Source organism: Homo sapiens, chromosome 7, assembly GCF_000001405.40.
Source record: "Homo sapiens chromosome 7, GRCh38.p14 Primary Assembly".
Classification (NCBI taxonomy): Eukaryota; Metazoa; Chordata; class Mammalia; order Primates; family Hominidae; genus Homo; species Homo sapiens.
This window is the reverse complement of record NC_000007.14, coordinates 27,746,293-27,766,357: the sequence shown is the minus strand read 5'-3', so window position 1 is coordinate 27,766,357 and position 20,065 is coordinate 27,746,293. Positions and strand designations below refer to the sequence as shown.

Genomic DNA, 20,065 nt, shown 5'->3' with positions numbered 1-20,065 from the left:
AGCTCTGCCTCCCGGGTTCATGCCATTCTCCTGCTTCAGCCTCCCGAGTAGCTGGGACTACAGGTGCCTGCCACCACGCCCGTCTAATTTTTTGTATTCTTAGTAGAGACAGAGTTACACCGTGTTAGCCAGGATGGTCTCGATATCCTGACATCGTGATCTGCCTGCCTCGGCCTCCCAGAGTGCCGGGATTACAGGCGTGAGCCACTGCGCCCAGCCAAAGCATTCGATTTTTGTGGCAACTCTCACATAACCTTAAAATTCTTAAAATGCCAACCAACATGAGCTCTGTTCTTAAAATTATCAATGAATCACTATCTCACTGTGAACACCAACCTCAAGAAGGCCTGCTTTTGTGGTCACCACTAACATGTCAGAATTTCCTTCATCTTCCATAGTAAGCAGCTCTTCAACTGGAGAAGAAGCTCGAAACTGGAAAGGTGTACTTGCTCCACGAATTTCACCCTTATGGGTAACGTAACAGAACTGATAAAATTCTCCATCATCATTTGGAAGGTAATATCCTAAGAGGAAGTTAACAAACAAAATTATTAAACTTCCTATTATAAAATTCATGTTATTTCAATTTAACAATACTTGCCATGTCTCATTCCCCACACTGTTCTTGACAAGAATCTGGGATATGTCCTTCCTCCTTTCGCAAATTATCAAAACTAGATTCTTCCTTCCTACTCAAAGTTAAATTTTTTCTTCTCTTAGGTTTAAGCTTATATTCCCAGAATATCCTTTCCCCTTGTATCTTCACTAGGGCAAAACCCACTCATTTAGGACAGGCAAGTATATACTTTACAATGGGAAAGAGGCTGGAGGAGGAGCAAGGGAAGAACCAATATAAAAGTCTACTGAGGACTGGGAGTGGGGGTGGGAATATGTCATTTAGAGAAATCTTCCCTCCAATTTGACATTCATTACATGTAAATAAGAGATATTAACTAAAGTAATATGCTGCACATGTGAACTATATGAAGGCAGAAAAGATGAGGTCTGCTAGTGCAGTATGGTAAAAATAAGCTTTAGGACCCAGTGCGGTGGCTCATGCCTGTAATCCCAGCACTTTGGAAGGCCAAGGTGGGCAGATTCGCTTGAGCCCACCTGGAGTTAGAGACCAGCCTGGCCAACATGGTGAAACCCTGTCACTACAAAAAATACAAAAATTTGCCAGGTGTGATGGCATGTACCTGCAGTCCCAGCTACTAGGGAGGCTGAAGCGGGAGGATCGCTTGAGCCCAGGAGGTCAAGACTGCAATGAACCATGATGGTGCCACTGCACTCCAGCCTGAGCGACAGAGTGAGACTCCGCCTCAAAAAAAAAAAAAAAAAAAAAAAACAGAGAGGAGAGGCAGACAATCTATAAGATAAGAGAAATTCTTGTGGCGCTTTAAAGCAAAGTAGCAGTCCACAAAAAGGAATTAAGAGAGGGGTGGAGCATGTCAAAAAAAAATACAGGAGCCCACTTGAAAAGCTCCAAATGGCTAAAGCTGAAACAATTTAAGTAACAAAAAAAATATGGTATTAGACTTTATTTCACAGAAGAAATTAATGATTCCATGGAGAAGAAGAAAATTCTTTCTAACGTAATGATCAACTAATAAATATACAAGTAATGAACTTCATTAGGCAAACACCACAATAATCGTAGGCAAGATGCACAGAGGGATACTAAAATTAGTGGCTGAAAATATGAGGAGAAACAAGATATTTCCACAGTCTCAAAGTAGCTCCCTCATAATATTCATTAATTACAAGGGAAAAAAATAATAACTTTATTTACAGTGGAGAAATCCAGAAGACACAATCTTAAACAAGCAATCAAGATTATTATAACCAGTAATAAGATGTATGGACATCACATACTCCCTGATAAAATGTACTGAGAAAGGTACAATACTGTTTCTATGGCATTCTTCCCAAAAATGCATAACTTCAATCTAATCATGAGAAAACATCGAGCAAAACCAAGATGAGAGACAAGCTACCAAAACAAACAACACCACAAAATGCTAACAGTACTTCACAAGAAAGTAAAGGTTATGAAAGATAAGGAGGAAACCAAGGAGACTAAGACAACATGACAATTAAATACAAAGAGGAATTAAAGACTGGATCTAAGAACAGAAAAAGAACAGTAATGGAAACACTGGTGAAATCTGAGTAAGGTTTGTACTTTAGTCAATAGTACTGTACCACTGTTAAACTATTGGTTTCTTAAATAAATGTACCATGGTCATGTAAGATGCTCACATGACACGAAGATGGGCAAAGGGCATACAGAAATTCTGTGTACTACTTTTGCAAGTTTTCTTTACATCTAAAATTACTTCAAAATACAAAGTTTAAATAAATATCATAGACATGTATCTGGCAACATACATTTTTAAAGATTTTAAAAATCCACCCTCCTAATAGCTACTAAAAACTTACTAATTCATACCAACTTCCAAATAGCCACTAGGCTTATTTAAAAGCTTAACTAGAAAACAAATATATAGCATAATTAATCAGCTCTGGCATCAAGACATTAGAAACTGTACAAACTAGGTATTCAAGGTCTGATTCTTTTTTTTTTTTTGAGACAGAGTCTCGCTCTGTCACCCAGGCTGGAGTGCAGTGGCCTGATCTCAGCTTACTGCAACCTCCACCTCCCTGCTTCAAGCAATTCCCCTGCGTCAGCCTCCCGAGTAGCTGGAATTACAGGCACACGCCATCACGCCCAGCGAATTCTTTTGTATTTTAGTGGAGACGGGGTTTCACCATGTTGGCAAGACTGGTCTTGAATTCCTATCCTCAGGTAATCCACCCGCCCCGGCCTCCCAAAGTGCTGGGATTACAGGTGTGAGCCACCGTGCCCGGCCTCAAGGTCTGATTCTTTAAAAAACAAAAACTTCACTAAAATAAACTGCTAAAAAATATGGTTCAAAACCATTTGAGATAGACATAATTATTCAGAGCTGCAATTTAAAGCTGCCTGGAAAAACTTGTCAGATGGATACTGAAAATAAAATGGGAAAAAGTGAAAACTAAATTTTCGAGTCAAATTTTACAGACTGTGCCTTTAGTATTCAACAAGATTATAATAAATAAATAAGGGTTCATTTAGGAAAACAATCACGTTTAGGTATTGTTAGATGTTTTGGGTTTTGCATTTCAGGATTCTCATTACTCATCCACAAAATGAGCAAAGTGATTTGCATTATGCTTGAAAGCCCTTCTATAACTCTAATATTCAATGACTAAGCTTTCCCTGACTTCCTTATATAACAAAAAAGTTCTAGGCACGGAGATGCTTTTATTTCTGAATTTCAAAATTCAAAATAAAAATGAACTGTTGAATTTTCAGAAACTTGTAAAACATATTGCATTTAGGCTTAGTGCCCATGAATTTTTGAGACAGGTTCTCACTCTGTCGCCAAGTCTGGAGTGAAGTGGTACAATCTCGGCTCACCGCAACCCCAGCCTCCTGGGCTCAAGTGATCCTCCCCACCTCAGCCTCTCAAGTAGCTGGGACTTTAGGTGTACACCACCATGCCTGGCTAATTTTGGGGGTATTTTTTGTAGAGATGAAGTTTTGCCAAATTGCCCAGGCTGGTCTCAAATTCCTGGGCTCATGCAATCCATCCTCCTTGGCCTCACAAAATGTTAACATTAGAAGTGTGAGCCACCATGTCTGGCCCAAAAATGTTTTTAAAGTATTAACAGAAATAAACTGGATGCTTTTCTCTACTTTTTAACCACTTTTAAACTTACTCCTAAGTCCCTAATAAACAAAAGCAATAGTCACTATAACAAATTGAATAAATTTTTTTCAACAGATGGAGTCTCACTATGTTGCCCACACTGGTCTCTTAACTCCTGGTCACAAGCCATCCACCTGCCTCAACCTCCCAAACAGCTGAGATTACAGGTGTGAGTCACCACTTAAAAAATAAGTTAACCTGGCAGTTAACTTATTTTTTAAGGGGAAACCAATCACAATAAAAATGACTAAAAATAAACCAACAGCTTTCAGGAAAGAAGTTTTAAATGTAACAAAACCGGTTCCAATACACACCTAAATTTTATTATCTAAAAAAGGCTATTAAAAGATAAACTACATATATAACTTACAACATTTCCTTATCCAAAAAACATCTATGAATACCTAAATCATTGCCCATATTTCACCACAAGTTTTATCCTCTGCATACTGGTTTCCTGGCACAGAACAGAAGGAAATTTCTTTATATATGCAAGTTCCATGAACTCACATTGCCAATTAATGTTTAGACCAAACATATGCAAAATTCAGAATAAAGTGAAAAAAAGTTTTTAAACAAACAGACCACCAAAATCCAAAGCAATGACACCATCAAATGCTGCTGAAAATGTGGAGCAACAGGAACTCTCATCATTCATTGCAGGTAGGAATATAAAATGGTACAAGCCACTTTGGAAGACAGTTTCGCAGTTTCCTACAAAACTGAACATGCTCTTATACAATTAATTAATTACATTCCCTGGTATTTACTCACATGAAATGAAAACTTACATCCACACAAAAACTTGCACAAGAGTGTTTATTGCAGCATTATTTGTAAGTGCCAAAACGTGGAAGCAACCAAGATCTCCTTCAATAGATTCATAAACTATGATACATCCATTCAATAGAATATTAATCAGTAATAAAAGAAATGAGCTATTCAAACCACTAAAAGACATGAGGGAATTTTAACCACATGTTGCTAAGTAAAAGAAGCCAATCTGAAAAGACTACATATCGTTATGATTCCAACTCTATGACATTTTACGGCAAAACTGTGGGGACAGTAAAACATCACTGGTTGCCAGGGTTTTACCAGGAGGGAAGGAGAGATGAGTTGGTGGGACACAGGAGACTTTTAGGGGAGTGAAGTTATTGTTCTTTATGATACTGCAACAGTAGGTATATGTCTTCATACATTCATCAAAATCAACAGAATTTACATCACACAGTGAACCCTGATGTAAACTATGAACTCAGACAATAATAGTGTATTAATATTGGTCCATCAATTATAACAAATGGAGCACACAAGATGTTAAAATAAAGGAAAGCAGGGAAGGGTGGTGTAAGGGATTGCAAGAGAACTCTACTTTTCATTCAATTTTTTCTGTAAACCTAAAACTGCTCCAAAAAAGTATGTTAATTTTTTAAAATTAAACTATCTGAAGCTGATTAATCTGAGCCTAGTTATTTTAGAAGGCTGCTCTGCACATGTCACCAAAATCCAAGTCAGATATTGCCTGATAAAAAAACAGGACATTTTAACTTAGATAAGACCATATCAATTAGATAATGTTAACAATTATTTGCTGAAAACTGTCTGCCATGCCACTGGTTCCCAAACTTCTACATAACAGAATCACCTGTTGATCTTTTCAAAATTCTAAAACCCAGGCCATACCACAGACCAATTAAATCACAACATCTGGAGGTGGGACATAAATTTCTGTGTGTCTTAAAGCACGCAGGATTCCAAATTAAAGTTAAGTTTGGAAATCACTATACCAAAGCTATGTGCATAGGCTCCAAGTTATGCTGCCCTTAAAACAGGCTGATGCTCTCTCTTAGCGACTATAACAAAAACTGACTGAAACTCAAGGGAGGGATCACTGTAAAAATTTTTCAGCCAGGTGCGGCGGCTCATGCCTGTAATTCCAACACTTTGGGAAGCCGAGGCGGGCGGATCACAAGGTCAGGAGATCGAGACCACCCTGGCTAACACGGTGAAACCCCATCTCTACTAAAAATACAAAAAAAATTAGCCAGGCATGGTGGCGGGCGCCTCCGGTCCCAGCTACTTGGGAGGCTGAGGCAGGAGAATGGCGAAAACTAAGGAGGCGGAGCTTGCAATGAGCCGAGATCGCGCCACTGCACTCCAGCCTGGGAGACAGAGCAAGAAGCCGTCTCAAAAAAAAAAAAAAATTCTAAAATAAATAATACTAGAAATGTTTATCCCAAATTCAAACTGTTTTTTGGTTCCTTTCTGAAGTAAGTATTTGCATGCTAACAAAGTATTTTCATTAAATAAATATTTTAGTATAGTTTGGTTTTTTAAAGGTTTTTCTTTTAGTTTGTTAAAACAAATTTAATTTTTAACATTCTGAATATGGTAAACCAGATCAGATAAGGGAGAAATGATTTGGGGTTTCATTTTAAAGATTTAGGGCCAGGCATGGTGGCTCACACTTGTAATCCCAGCACTTTGGGAGGCCGAGGCGGGTGGATCACCTGAGGTCAGGAATTTGAGACCAGCCTGGCCAACATGGCAAAACCCCGTCTCCATTAAAAATACAAAAATCAGCCAAGCGTGGTGGTGAGCACCTGTAGTTCCAGCTACTCAGGAGGCTGAGGCACAAGAATCGCTTGAACCCAGCAGGCAGAGATTGCAGTGAACTGAGATCACACCATTGCACTCCAGCCTGGGTAACACAGTGTGACTCCGGCTCAAAAAAAAAAAAAAAAGATTTACAAAATTTTAAAATTGCATTAAAATATGTGAAAATGTGTGAGACAATAAACTTTATTTTAAATCATTCATCTCATAATCCTGAGCACATTTTTTTAAAGTAGTGATTCATACAATGTAAACTTCTTTCTGCTAACATAAGAACATTCTTAACAGAGCCCATTGCTTAAAGATATGAGAAACCCAGAGGAAAAAGTCTTAATTATTAATAGCCAGCCCCAGGGGAAAGCAATAAAGTCCTAGAATTTTTTTTTTTTAAACATAAAGGCAAATAAAGTTCTCAATAGCAAAGAGGCAGTTTTAGGGAATGTTCAACTTGGGGTTAAAGGATACAGAAAATTCAGGTCATCCATCAACTTTAATGGAGAAAAACATTATATTTTTATTTTTACTAACATCTAACTAAAATTTTAGCATGTACTTTGATTACTATCAGTATTTGTGATTTTTGTCACTAACAGGAATTACTTATATGTTAATACCACATTACAATTGTTACAGGTATCTCAATGTTATCTTACTTGGAAATCATGGCAGTGATTAAATCTGCCAATAAAATACATCTTGTTAACACACAGATTTTGAAGCACATGTATTAATATATCAAAAATTTGTTACTGTGATATTTTAATTATTTCAATATAATTGGTTTTCTTTGCAATTTTATGTCTTATTTTATATACATTAAAATATTATTCTGAGACAGAGTCCATAAACTTCACCAGACCAAAAGAAATCTATGACATATACAAGGGTAAGAATTCACTTTAATACAATCCTAAAGTCAGTACAATTATAATACAAAATTACTCTGCAGCAAATTCTGTGATAGATCTCTGAATAAGTGTTATTTTTTTTTCAAGTTTTTAAGTTGTGCTAAAAAACACATAAAATTTACTATCTCAAGCATTTTAAAGTGTATAGTTCAATGTTAAGCACATTCATATTGTTGTGCAACCACCACCACCATTATCTCCAAAATTGTTCTCATCTTTTAAAACTGAAACTCTCTACCCTCATTAAACAATAACTCCCCATTCCTCCCTTGAGGGAACCTGAATGCCCTGCAGACCACCATTCTACTTTCTGTGTCTATCCCTACTCTAAGTACCTCATATAGCGGAATTATGCAGTATTTTTCTTTTTGTGATTGGCTTATTTAACTTATCATAACATCCTCAGTGTTCACCCATATTGTAGCATATGTCAGAATTACCTGAATAAGAGTATTTTTTAAATTTTGTAAATAATGCCAAGCTAACACAAAAATGAATTTTATATTACTTTATCATTTTATAATAAAGGAACTTACACATGACAGAATTCAAATAACTATAAGTTCTGTTAATCATGTTTGTGGTTTGCATCTGGACTATTTTCCTCACCTCTTTTTTGTTACATTATTCTAATATCTGTTATTACTATTGTATTGTTTTCTCACTTGAAAAAAAAAAATCTCCAAAAATTAGTACCTAAAAAGAAACCCACTCTTCAGTGAAAGTTAAGACAACAACCAATAACTTTTAAATGTCTACATAAAATATCATGTGGCCTACACCAGACAGTTACATTCTTAGGGCTTTTGCTAAGTAAAGACACTAACTAATTCAACTTTGGTACCCTGGAGATACCTGAACAAATCATTACAATGGAGTACAACATCTTTAATGGCAATAAGACATCTAGTTTCATTGAGTTCTGCAGTTTTCAGTCCTTACCTTGGAATGCTAGTACACAATTGACTGTTGATCCTTCCACATAATGTTCAGGCATAGGGGACCATAAAAACGTGTAATAATCACGAGCAGTACTCCATCCAACCTAAAGGGAAATAACAAAAAAGGCGGATTTATAAGCAAATAGTTTAATATTAGGCTCATACAGCATACTGTTTATTTATTGTATTTTACAGTTAAAATATACATTTAATATGTTTACAAATCATGAGTATTTTAACAAGCATGTCAAATTATTTCTAAATTAAACTACAGCCTAATGCTATAAAAATCTACATAAATTGAATAGTAGAGTTTCTACTATATTAAAATGCAATTTGCTATCCAATTTCTCAAGGATAATCTAACTATCCATATGATCAAATATAAAAATGTGTTTTGATTAAAATTTAATTTCACTAAACACAGTGAGTTTTTAAATACTTGTTATTTATTTTTTATTGACCACAGAGTATTATTTTCAAAGGTGGCACATACTGAATGTCTAGCAGATCCAACAACTGAGGGAGTTATAGACTAAAGAAAATTAATATTTAAAATATTAGACATGCATTACAAATTCACCTCTGAAGAATTTTCACATATATCAAAATTCAAAAAACTTAATTTATACCTCCAATGTAAGTGTTTTATTTGTTTTACTTAGACATCTGCCTCCCCCTAAATCCACTAAATTCACTAATCTCTCATCTTTGGCAAGTCTTGCCTGCAGCCAATTGGCAAATTTTGTAAAAAGACCTTTAGCACCAAGATGTTTATATATGCACAAACAGACCACCCATGTCTCACCTAATGCTAACACATTTTCTACTTACAACATGAATATATACATACCTCAATCTGTATTTTCCAGATGGACTAAATACCATGTTAAATATTGAAAATTGGAGATGTTTAAAACAGGTACTAGATATCCATTTGCTAGGAATATTACAAAAATTTATGCATCAGCCACAAGGTTAGATTATCCATGTTCTATGATTCTGATTGGCCTGATTGTAGACAACAGAATACTGAAGCTGGACGAACCTTAGTCACCTTTAGCCTCCAAAGGAATGGTTGAAACTACAGGTTACAAACCCAGTAAGAAGTGATAAAACCAATTTAGTGGTTCATGACTGGCATTTATTTTGTAATTATATAGAAGAGAAAGTACTGGAGTATATTAAGGGTAAGTGTTTCATGAAATTTAGTTTCTGGTGTATCTGCATGCTGGGACAAATCTTACAATTTACTTTGTTCTGTGTCAAGGTAAAAAACATTTGACACTATTCATCTCTTTACGGATATGAAACCTGAGGAATCAGTGAACAAGTCATTTACCTCACCTGTTTGAGCCCATTTTTTTCCTTTCACAGTTGTTGGAAGAATTAAATTAGGTAATGAACCTAAAAGCAGCATCTGAAGTGCCTAATCCATGGCAAACACTCCATGAATGGTAGTTATTATAGGTGTAGTATTTTGTAATAACTAAGAGCATAGGGTGTGAGGTCAGAATACCAGAAAAGATAATTTGCTAGCTGTATGGTTTTGGAAAAGTTATTCATTTCTATTTTCTCCTCTGATAACAAAAACAGTCTCAAAAGGTTGTGTCTGTATTAAGTGAGTTCATCCCTGTATTTAGCACAGTGCCTATCACATAAGTGCTTGTTAGCAGCCTGAGAACTGAGCCTACCAAGAAGTTGGGGGCAAGATACAATCCTGAGTAAAAAGTCAGAAATATAGAACTACACTTCAAATTGCTTTTGAGTAAGGAAAACTAAAACTAAACAATAGTTCTTAAGTTACTTAGAGAGGGGCATGTTGGGCATACATAAAAAATAAATGTAGAAGTCTCTCAACCTGGAAAGATACAGAGAATGGGCTCCTTTGGGATGTAACTGTCTTATATCTAAGCTCCCACATGAAAGTATGCTAGAGTGGATAATACTGGAAGGAACACAAAAGATGAACATCAGGAAATTATGCAGGAGTCCACTGCAATAATAATAAATCTAATTAGAAGGGTCAATAAACCATAATGTGTCCAAACCAAAGGTTGATTCTCTGTTTTATTTTCCTGGTCACCGGGCTAGAACTTGCTGCTCAATGCTACAGGACACACTGAAATGCAAGAAATCTTGTCTTTTAGTCCACCATTACCAAGTGTAAAGAAAATTATTACACTTAAAGTTAATAACAGCAATTTTCAAACATTGAAAAATGGCAGGGAGAACATGGCAACACTTTGGACAATGGGACAAAATACCAGTTATATAAAACTGCCAAAATACATTGCTTCTAGGAGATATACCTGAATCTAGTTAACCAGTTAATTGTAGTCACAGATACCACTGGAGGCTGTATGTATGTTAAGAGAGAAACTAAAGCAATGAATATGTCACATACTTTAGTTTGAAGAATTACAACAGCAGTGGGCATCATTCTTGTTACTACTGCAACAGCAAAATAAATGAGAAAATGGAAATTAAACAAGGGTGACAGAGAAGGGAGAAAGCCACAAAGTGTTCCTTTTAAATAGGATTAACATTTCAGAAAAACATGTTGGATAAGTTTTGATCATAAAGGAAATTCTGAGAAAGAACATACAGAAGACCAGAATAACATCAAAGTTACCTAGAAAAACATCAAGATAATAAATCCTGGAGAAACATTGAGAAAAAGACAGAAACATTAGGTTGAGGAAAGCATATGAGACACCACTTGGAAAGAAAGAAAGAAATAGAGAAGAGGGGACTGATGTTTGGAGATGAATAAAGGGAGACAAGCCTTGGAGTAGGAAAGGCACTGAAAATAAATGAGCTGATTACATATGGATATAGGAGGATTCCCAAGAAATATAATTAAGTGAGGAAAAACGCCCACAAAAAAGTATCAAATGAGCCTATGAATTTTTCTAATCCAGAAACATACAACAACAGACATCACTGGGGAAGGTAGGAGTACAATGGGTAGAAGCATTCATTTTCCTTCTTCTGTATACAATGTAGCTTCTAAAAATCATGTTACTAGAAAAGTTCCTTTAGGAAAAAAATGACTGCAAAAATGCCTAGATATACACAGGGAGTATGCAACATTGATTCAAAAGAGAAATATCATAAACAGCATAAATTCCTCAATGAGATAAAATGGTACAGAACTAATTGTAAGTGATTAAGTGAAAAAATCACGGCATTAAAAAAGGCATGAGATATGCCAGCAACATTCAAAATATATGCATTAGAAAAAAGACAAGCCAGGTGGGGTGGTTTACGCCTGTAATCCCAGCACTTTGGGAGACTGAGGTGGGGGGATCACGAGGTCAGGAGATGGAGACCATCCTGGCTAACACGGTGAAACCCCGTCTCTACTAAAAATAAAAAAAAATTTAAAAAAATTAGCCGGGCGTGGTGGCGGGTGCCTGTAGTCCCAGCTACTCAGGAGGCTGAGGCAGGAGAATGGCGTGAACCCAGGAGGCAGAGGTTGCAGCGAGCCAAGATCGCACCACTGCACTCCAGCCTCGGCGATAGAGCGAGACTGTCTCAAAAAACAAAAACGAAAACAAAAAACAAAAAAGACTGAAAGTCTCCTTCCATTAATAAAACAAGGCTGGAAGGAAATACTTAAAACATTAACAGTGCTAACCATTGATATTAATTAGGTAGGGATATACTTGGGTAGTGGGACTGTAGGACATTTTAATTTTATAATTATAAATAAGTATAATTATAAATATTTATATATTATATATATTATAATTGTAATTTTTTTTTACAACCAGAGGACTTTTTTTAAAAACAGAAAATGAGTGGAATGAGACAGGACTGAAGGGGAGACCAAGGCAGGAAAAGAGAAGAAGGAGGAAAAAAATTTGAAAAGGAAAAACAAGGAACAAAGAAACAAAAGCTTGAAACAGGATATTCAAGCATAAAATCACTGTTTGGATCCACCTTCTAATCAGGCAACTTAGTTTTTGATGTGCTTGACAGCAGGATGCAGTGAAAACAGTACCTTACAGGGAGGTTTTGTTTGTCTAGTATAGGACATGTTATGCATTAGCAATGTGACTTTGAACATGTCACATGACCACTTTGCACTTCCAGTTTCCTCAACTAGAAAAGTATCTCGGAGATGTGAGAATTCCAATTAGAACAGTATCTCAGAGATGTGAGAATTCTAAGACTCTAAAGTTTAAAAAACAAAAACTCATGGACCTTTAACATTACTACAGTAGTCATCCTTTATCTAAGGTTTCACTTTGTGTGGTTTTAGTTACCTAAGGTCAACCAAGACCCCAAAATAAGTGAGTATAGTACAATAAGATATTTTAATATTTTGAGAGTGAGAGAAACCACATTCACATAACTTTTACTCCGGCTGTTTGGTTAAGTGAAAGATCTGATTATTCAAAATTAGCAACAGAGTTGCTAATGATGCAGGCTGGGTATCAGGTAATATAACAATTTCATGTTACAATTGTTCTATTTTTAGTTATTGTTGTTAACTCTTACTGTGCCTAATTTATAAATTAAACTTTATCATAGGTATGACTGTATCAGAAAAGTACAGTGTAAATAGAGTTCAGTACTACCTGTAATTTCAGGCATCCACTGGGGATCTTTAACTGTAAGGTAATTTAATTTGTACTAAGCATAAATCTAAACATACACCAATTCCTCATGCTTATGTACTTATACAACTAAGACCAAATCAAATTCATAAACACAAAACGGAACAAAACTCAAATATAATGTAACATATAGTATTTTACTGCAATTAACGTTGGTTTAATAATAAAGATATGGCATCAGGTGCAGTTCTTTTTATTTTTTTATTTGAGACGGAGTCTCGCTCTGTCGCCCAGGCTGGAGTGCAGTGGTACAATCTCTGCTCACTGCAACCTCCACCTCCTGGGTTCAAGCGATACTCATGTCTCAGCCTCCTGAGTAGCTGGGACTACCAGCATGCACCACCACACCCGGCTAATTTTTATATTTTTAGTAGAGACAGGGTTTCGCCATTTTGGCCAGACTGGTCTCAAACTCCTGACCTGAAGTGATCTGCCCACTTCAGCCTCCCAAAGTGCTGGGATTACAGGCGTGAGCCACTGTGCCCAGCCTGCATCAGGTGCAGTTCTAAATCTTTCCCTGTAATTTTACTTCAATTCTGTCACTAAAGAAAATCCATGCTGAACTTATTAGCAACTCTGTTGTTAATTTTGAATAATCAGATCTCTCACTTAACCAAACAACCAGAGAATAATTATTGAATGCCAATTTACATAAGGTTCAAATCTCAGCTCCAACGTATAATGGATAACTTTGAACAAGTCACTTTATTCTCTGAACCTCAGTTCCCTCATCTGTAAAACAGGGAGTATAATGCTCAGATGAGAGGTGAATGTATAAAATTCCCAACATGTTAAATGTTTATTTTCATTATAATTAAAACTAATCAATCAATACTTCAGAGGGAGTGAAAAAACTAAAAGGAACAAAAACCTCCAACCCAGTCTATATCCCTTGTTTGGCTTCACTCATTTCCCTACCCAACCTGGACTTCACTATCAGTCAATCATTTCAATAATGTACTCAAAACCACCATAGTATCCTTTGTCCTCTTAACTTCCCTTCCCATTCCCACCCTTTTCCAACACCCAATTTGAATGACAGCCACTTCTGGCACTCTTGACACAACTCCAGATGCTGAATCTCTCTGGAAAAAGTCATAAAATTGCTGCTTAGTAATCTTCTGGTTAAGCCACTCCGATTCCCTATGACATTATTCCACAGTAGCAAGACCAATTATCTATACTCAAGCCCTCCCCAACTTTTAACATATGACCTTGCTCCTCCTTACTGAGATGCCATAGAATGAGTGCCAGTTCTAATTCAATTGACTGTTGACATATCCTATGAATTCTACTTATGGATTATTACACACAACTTACTTCCTTCTCCACTTTAGGCTTTCATTATCTCACATAGAAAATTAGGATAGTCTAAACGTTCTCTTTACCTCCATTCCTTTCGAATTCCAATTTATCTTACTCAGCACTATAAGATTAAGCTTCACTTCTAAACTTTATTACTCCTTACTTAAAAACTATCCCTCAAATATTAAAACAATCTACAACATGATCCAAACTAACTTTTCCCATTCATCTTCTAAAACTGGTATCTGTAGCTGGGCATGGTGGTTCACGCCTGCAATCCCAGCACTTATTTAGGCTGAGGCGGGTGGATCGCTTGAGCCCAGGAGTTCGAGACCAGCCCGGGCAACATGGCAAAACCCAGTCTCTAAAAAAATAATAATAATAAATTTTTAATTGATAGCTGTCCCAGGCAAATCAAATTCCTTAACACTTTCTCAAGCATACTACTTTCCCATCTTCATTCCTCCTCCCTTACAATTGCTACCCAGGCACTCTCTTCCTGCCTGCTTGTCAATATGGTGTCTATCAAAATCACTCTAGAGGGCAATTTGCAGTACACATAAAGTGCTTAAAAACAAACAATGCCATAAACATGGTGATTCTACTTCCAAGAACTTACCTTATGAAATAAGTAGACAAAATAAAGATAGGTAGAGATCTTTATTAAGTATTAATGATAAGCATTTAGCAACAATGTAAATTCCAATAGTAAGAAACTGGTTCAACGAATATATACACACACTATGATGCATCAGTAGTATGTGTGTATATATTTATTATACACACATTATGCATGTGTATAATTATTTGTAATTTTATTACATGTAGCTATATACCAATATGTTAACAATAGTTAACAGTAGGTAAAAGTGTTAAGCATGATTATTTTCTTCCTTGAGCCTTCCTGTATTACCTGAAATCTTTACTACATGCCTGAACTTCCTATTGAGTTTTAAAGTTTTATGCTGGCAAAAAGGATGGAAAGGGTATTAAACAGAAGATTTTTTTTTCTTTTTTGCTGAGAGAAAACTTACAATCCTTAAAGTGCACAATGAAAGAAGTATAGTTTAGCATTACCAAAGCAAAAAGGCAGCAGCAGGAATGACCAAAACTGAAGCTGGAAATAAAATCTTATACAGGAGCCCTGTATGGCTCTAGGTTATTTGGTCTTGGCATTATTCTACAGATGATGAAGAACCAATGAAGAGTTTCAAACAACAGAAAGACATGTTCAGGTTTCCATTTTACAGCTTATATAGAGCAGTTAAAAAACAAAGGTTAGAGGACAAGAATGAAAGTGGGTAAAACAGCTGACCTATTGCAATAGTCTTGGTAAAAAATATGGAAGGCATGAACTAGTGATATTAAGGATTTAGAAATATGTAAGCAGTAAAATGGTTAGAACTGATTGTTTGGATTTGAAGGGAAAGTCACAGTCTTTTGGCTTTAAAAAAATGAAAAAATATAAGAAATAAACAAGTAGTCTGCAGGAAAAAGGTAATAATTCATCTTCCTGAAACATACTTTTTCAAACAACCTATACATATACAAAGACTTCCCACTGTCCTTCAGAAAAAAGTCCATAAACTCTCTAACACTGAAGGTCGTCCATAGACAGAATGAAACTTATCTCCAATCTCATCTCCCACAACTTCCCTAACTGAAGCTTATGCTCTAGTTAAACTGACTTACTCATTCTCATGAACATTCCTACCTCTAAGCCTCTGCTTATACAGATTCAGTATCCCTTATCCGAAATGCTTGAGACCAGAAGTGCTTTGGATTTCTAAATCTGTCAGATTTTGGAGTATTTGCATTATACCTACTGGTTGGGCATCCCAAATCCAAAACATAAAATGTTCCAATAAGCATTTCCTTTGCACATCATGTCAGCATTCAAAAAGTTTTGGATTTTAAAGCATTTCAGATTTTAGATTTTCAGATTTAGGATGTTCAACCTGTACCATTTTCCTGCTGGAAATGCCCTTCTTTTTCCTCAGTCACATTTCTGTTTTCTTCCTCTCTGCTCTGTTACTACAGAAAACATCAGTTCTCAATCAGTATCTTTAACTTGATACCAGTATCTCCCATAAAATCGAAACTACTACTGAGGCCAGGTGCGGTGGCTCACACCTGTAATCCCAGCACTTTGGGAGGCTGGGACAGGAGGATCACTTAAGCCTAGGAAGTTAAAACCAGCCTAGGCAACATAGTGAGACCCTGTCTCTACAAAAAATTTTAAAAATTAGCCAGGCGTGGTGTTGTGTCTATAATCCCAGCTATTTGGAAGGCTGCGGGGAAAGGATCACTTGAGCCCAGGAGGTCAGGTTGCAGTAAGCCACTATCCCACCACTGCACTCCAGCCTGAGTGATAGAATAAGACCCTGTCTCAAAAAATAAGAAATAAAATTTAAAAACTACTCCTAATTTCATAAAATTGTTACAATGAATGTTTCTCCATTTTGGGATTTGACAAGCCTAAAAAACTGACACAAAAAGTAAACAGTAAATAACTATTGTGTTGTATTCAGAAACATCAAGAAATGAGGAATTCAAAGAAAGGAACTAAGTCATTAAATGCCAAAATTGTTTTGTCCAAATGTTTTTCTGCCTTCCCGTCAGGCTGGACTTTTACTTCTAGACACTTTCAATGTGCCTAATTTCTAGCAGCTATTCATTTCTTTCTTCCTTGTTGTTTAACTTTATACAGATTAGACAATCAAAATTTCAAGCCCATAAAAATCTTAACTAAAATAAAACAAACTGATTCTGAGGAAGACTACAGAATAACACAGGAGAAAAGTGAATGTGTTTTACTGTTTGGACATTCGTGACATTATTTTGACTGCTCAGAGGACATTCTTATGTTTTGGTTTTCCACTACATTTTGAAGAGTTAAAATTGCCAGAAAAAGTCCTGCACAGTGAGGTGTACCACTGTAATGATCACCTTCATTTTCAAGAAAGTATTATACAAAATCACTGGTAAAATATAAGAACTAGAACTCCTGCCATCAAAGAGTTTACTATTCAGTCATGTTAAACAGAATACTTTAAAACTGTGTAATACAAACAGAATACTCTTAAAACTGTGTAATACAATCTGAGCAATATTTAAGCCATGCAGGACAGTAGAAGGGATAATAACATGGCTGTCAAGCTGTATAAAATTAATTTCAAATGACTGGAAAAAATGGTAAATAATATAAGAACCCAAAGAAAAAGATCTTTTTTTATTGCAGGTAATGAATGGAGAAAATAGGAAAAGAAGATTCTGAAAAAATTTTCACAAGTCCTTAAGTGAAGGTAAACTTTCTGATCAGGGAGAGGAAAATCTGGTGAAATGGAGTTCCCAACATCCATTTTATCTACTCCCCACTGTTAAATATTTCATGGTGATGTTTACAAAAATGAGTCTTAATGCAGAGTTAAGGCAAGTAAAAGCTACTTATCAATCTGTTTTAAAAGAAAATTTTAAGTGTTTACATGGAGAACATATTCAGAAAGCTTTCTTACCTTGAATATACCAACCCAATCTTTTGGATGTGGATGAATATATGGAGTTAAGGTGTAATGACATTCCAGGTGTGCATTAGGAAGGTAACTCTTGGCCACATTTTGAAAGATGACATGGGCAAAGTTGGAAGTCTGCAATGGGACTTCTTGAAAGGATGTCATTGTGAATCTGAAACAAGTAATTCATACAAGTTAAATTATACCAACTAAGAATAAACTTATGCCTTCAGAAAATACATAATATTTAATATAAGTTTCATGAATATTTGCATGTCATAATTAAGAAAATATATACTTTGTAAATACTGGAACTTCTTAAAAATTGATTAAATATAAAAATACAGACAAACTGGAAAAATAACTAAAACCCATTTGGCTCAGAAAGTTATATGGGCATTTAAAAGTTAAAAAACCAAAACCAAAAATTAACTCTCCTGGAAAGCCTAGCCCTCTGCTTCTATTTAAATCAAAAGCAAATGAACCAGAGGTGTTTTTGTGCACACGCTGCCAATATAAACCTGCTGGCTCCTAGTAACAAACACTAAGAAACAGAAACAAGAACAGTTAAAAGTCAGTATTTTACTGGCTATGGGTCAATTAACATTTCCTTCCTATGTAGAACCCTTGGGCTTCATCATTCTCCTCCCTAACCTAGCCCATCCCATTCATCTCTTCCCCTCTCCCTAGGTTTTGGGGTCCTATAACTAAACCTGACGCTAACATCTCTGTGCCTACATTCCTGCCCTTCTAATCCCCTGGACCAGCATTTCTCAACCCTGGTTACACATTAGAATCATTAGGGGCCTTTAAAAAAAAAAAATAGATGACAACAACTTTCTGGGATTGGGGCCTGGGAGTGTGTGCATGTGTGTCTGTGGGTGTGTATACGAATATACATAGCCCTGCCCCTACATCGCCCCAAGTAATCTCAATCCTGTATGCAACCAGAAAAGAGAACCACTATCCAACAACTTCTACCTCTCACTCATTTCCACAGATCCCAGACCCAGCCTGTCTTCTTGGGCTTCTGTTACAAGCTTGTTCAAATCTCTCAAACCATGTAAAATCTTAGCTGGTCTACTTGAAATGGCTCAGCCTATTTGTTCTTCTCCACCTATAACAAACCTATCATTTCATCATAGGTCCAATCAATGATCCTACCTCAACTTCTAGTATTCACGTACCCTTTCCACATGTTTACTGATTAAAATAAACTTATATTTAAAAATAAAAATAAAAGTGTAGTGTTAATAAAATACACACTGTTGAAAATCTCTTAGAGATTCATGAACGCTCACTGGCTTAGTAAACACCAAGCACTGGATAGCAGATGAATGGTGAAAGCAGATTATAAAAACTGCAAGATCCAAATGTTTTCCCTATTTTGTGCTCTACTTTTGAGAAAACAGAAACAAATGAGGATTTACCCAAAAAAGCAATCTGTAGAGTTTGTCACAGGCTCCGTACAATCACTAATTCTACAATACACATAAGAAACTATGACTGTCCTGACTGCACTTGCTTGAGTCATTAAAACAGGCATCTCTGTAATAATGGGGAAAACTGGGGCAAGGTTTTTGCTAACCAAATTAATCTAATTTACTTCACAAATCAATGAAGTTTCTACAGAGCAAGCACAGCAGTAAGGCTCTACTCATATTTTAGCCATTAGTAAGAAGGCTTATTGCTAAGATCTAAAACAGTGTGCTTTTACAACTGTTTCTTTTGCTGACCTGTTTGAAATACTAAGGCAAATTTTTAAAGTTTTGTAATAATAAGCACTTTAAAAAATATCAACTTTCTTCTTGTGTCCCCTCTGCTTCTGTTATGGCCAAAGTCCTGCTTTACTGAATATAATGGATATCCCAAAAAGAGACTGTCAATCATGAACCTGGAAACCACTGTAGAGTATCAGGCTAGTTGTCAGCCTCTCCCTACCTGAGGTTTGCAAGCATTCCAAGATAAAGAGTATATTCAGTAGCAATCCCCCTTTACCTCTGCACTAATAAAGGGACTTTGCTACCAGCAACCATATTTCATGGAAAGACTTAACTATGAATACTCTCTACCTGGTAACCTAAAGCCATCAGAAAAATGAACAGGTAGCATTTACAAACACTGGAGAACTCTGCCTAAAATAACTGAAGAGTTTTATTATTTTGTTTCTTTGAGTTGTCTGAGCTAATTTGGGCTCCCAGGGAGGTCATGATACTAATGAAGTCATTAATGATTATCTCAAGTCACTGGCTTCACAAAGGAAAAAAAAAAAAACACCAATTCCAGTTCTTTAAAAAAAAAAGAAAAAAAAAAAACTCACTACTGGTTACAAGACACCAACAAAAGAAACTATAGCTAAATCAACAGAACCAACATCTATTAGATACAACTACCAAA

General features: G+C 36.0%; 1 protein-coding gene across 6 annotated transcripts in view; it reads right to left on the bottom strand.

The window, feature by feature from the left end:
• The window catches only part of TAX1BP1 (Tax1 binding protein 1), a 90,395-nt gene that overhangs the window by 63,410 nt on the left and 6,920 nt on the right, over window positions 1-20,065 (bottom strand). For 5 of the 6 annotated variants that reach the window (NM_001206901.1, NM_006024.7, NM_001362794.2 and 2 more), the window contains exons 2-4: window positions 17,672-17,840; window positions 8,225-8,327; window positions 337-524 (exon numbers count right to left, since the gene is read on the bottom strand). In NM_001206901.1, coding sequence (NP_001193830.1) covers window positions 337-524; window positions 8,225-8,327; window positions 17,672-17,833 — 453 coding nt within the window. In that variant the 5' untranslated portion in view covers window positions 17,834-17,840. The remainder of the gene's footprint in view (window positions 1-336; window positions 525-8,224; window positions 8,328-17,671; window positions 17,841-20,065) is intronic. The other variant, NM_001206902.2, reaches the window with a different exon arrangement.